Source organism: Homo sapiens, chromosome 3 (genome assembly GCF_000001405.40).
Source record: "Homo sapiens chromosome 3, GRCh38.p14 Primary Assembly".
In the NCBI taxonomy this organism is placed as follows: Eukaryota; Metazoa; Chordata; class Mammalia; order Primates; family Hominidae; genus Homo; species Homo sapiens.
The window spans coordinates 80,496,959-80,498,860 of record NC_000003.12 but is presented as its reverse complement, the minus strand read 5'-3'; the positions used below and the strand labels follow the sequence as shown (position 1 = coordinate 80,498,860).

The following is a 1,902-nucleotide window of genomic DNA, read 5'->3' as shown; positions in this document are numbered from 1 at the left end:
ATTAGACTTGAAATGAGGACAATGAGAGAAATAAAAAGGCTTCGTAAACTAGAAAAGTTTGGTGAGGAGCGACTACAGTTCTCAAAATGCAAGATGAAAGAAGCTCCTATCAAGAGAACCAGGGAACAGAGATGAGATTCTCCATTTAACATTTTCTATTTTGATTCTTAGATATGAACAATTTACATTTGACAAGTCTGGTTGTCAAGCCTTGTCAATTTTCAAGCTTGACTTAAGGCTCCTAAAAATGTGTGTGTGTGTGTGTGTGTGTGTGTGTGTGTGAGTGTGTGTGTGTGTGTGTGTTAAAGGCAGGACAACTTTCATCTCAATAAATGCATAAAAGGAAAGACTGGTGACACGAAGTGGAGATGAGTATAACCAGTTGAAAAATTACCCATGAGTCAGGGCAGCAGTGGACACATCCTACTTTTACTCTGTGATTCACTAGAAACCCCCTGAGGTTTTGGAATGGGGAGTAATGACAATCACCCTGTTGAGATGGCACTGCTTACTCTGTCCTGCAGAAGTCCTGAATCTCTTCTTCCCTGCTTGGAGAGAAAATCTTACACAAAACACACTCAAGCTACTTTTGTCCTGTGGACTTGTTTTTTGCAGCTTCTCTGCATAAGAATTCATGCAGAACTACTCACGAGTCTAACTGAAAAATAATTGTAGCATACTACCAAACTCCCATATTTTTATAACCTGGGAAACTGTTCACAGGAAAATGAATTAAATTCTGAATCAATGGCCTTCATATGGCACACTCTTAGAGTAGAATAACAGTATCTGTATTTCTTGGTTACAAGTGATGTTGGTGGCAGCCCATCTGGAGTAGCTGTTGCAGGGACACCAGCTGCAGTGATGGATGCATGGCTGGACCTGTGTGCTCTGTGGAGCCCATGGGGGCTGGGGACAGGTGAGAGCCCTGCCACCTACTGAGTTGGCTGAGGGGGAGCCCTGAGCTCCTCGGCACAGCTGCAGTTGCCCAGCTGGGATCCAGACCTGAGCATCCCTTCACTGTCAGGGGCCCAGGAAGCTCCTAACCCCTGCATACGTGAAAGTGCCTGCTCCCCCTTCCTGGCCTCTACCCTCTCCCAGCACCCGCTGTGGGTCAGAACAAAGTTATGGCTGAGCCTGGATGCTGCTGGAACCCAGCTGGGTGTGCATGCTCAGGGTGGTTCTGATACACCCACCGGCTGCTGCCTCAGACCCCTCTGGACTTTAGGAGCACATGAGCATGGGAGGGGAGCTGGGAGTGGTGAGTGTGGCTCAGCAGGGAACTGCAAGCGCCTCTTGGCATGGACAGCCTGGGTGCCATGTAAGCATGTTAAAGGTAGACAAGTTCCTAGGCAGGAATGAGAAGGTCTCCCCAGTGAAACCCCAGCTTCAGGCCAGAGACAGCCTGAAGCCTGGAGGCTGGGATGCTAGTTCTGGGCCAAGTCTGTAGCTCAGAGTCAGGACTTCATTGATGACCATTTGGCCAATCAGATGGTGCTTTCTTCAGGCCCTCCCATGGCTGCCCATGGACCAATCAGTACACACAATCTTCATTCTGAGCACATAAAAACCCCAGACTCAGCCAGACTAACACACAAATTGGGAAAGGAGCTACTTACTCCTCTGAATAAGTTTCCTCTGAGCTGAGAGGTGGACAGTCTTTTGGGATGACCATCCTGTGGAAAGTAGCCACCCACTTCAGGTCTCCTGAGAGCTATTCTGCTGCTCAATGCAGCTCCTCTCTGCCTTGCACATCTTCCAGTTGTCTGCATACCTTATTCTTCCTGGATATGAGGCAAGAACTTGGGACCCTCCAAATGGCAGAAATGAAAGAGCTGTAACACAAACAGGACTAAAACTTGTCCCCTGCTTGCCACCTTGTGGACTACAAGGAGAGAAGAG

General features: G+C 48.2%; 1 annotated feature.

Moving 5' to 3' along the window:
- Positions 1,135-1,675: an enhancer, noted in NCBI's record as "H3K27ac-H3K4me1 hESC enhancer chr3:80546336-80546876 (GRCh37/hg19 assembly coordinates)". NCBI's record gives its function as "activates a minimal SCP1, AML or CMV promoter by ChIP-STARR-seq in primed H9 embryonic stem cells {active_cell/tissue: H9 hESC(primed)}" and the evidence as "EXISTENCE:reporter gene assay evidence [ECO:0000049][PMID:30033119]".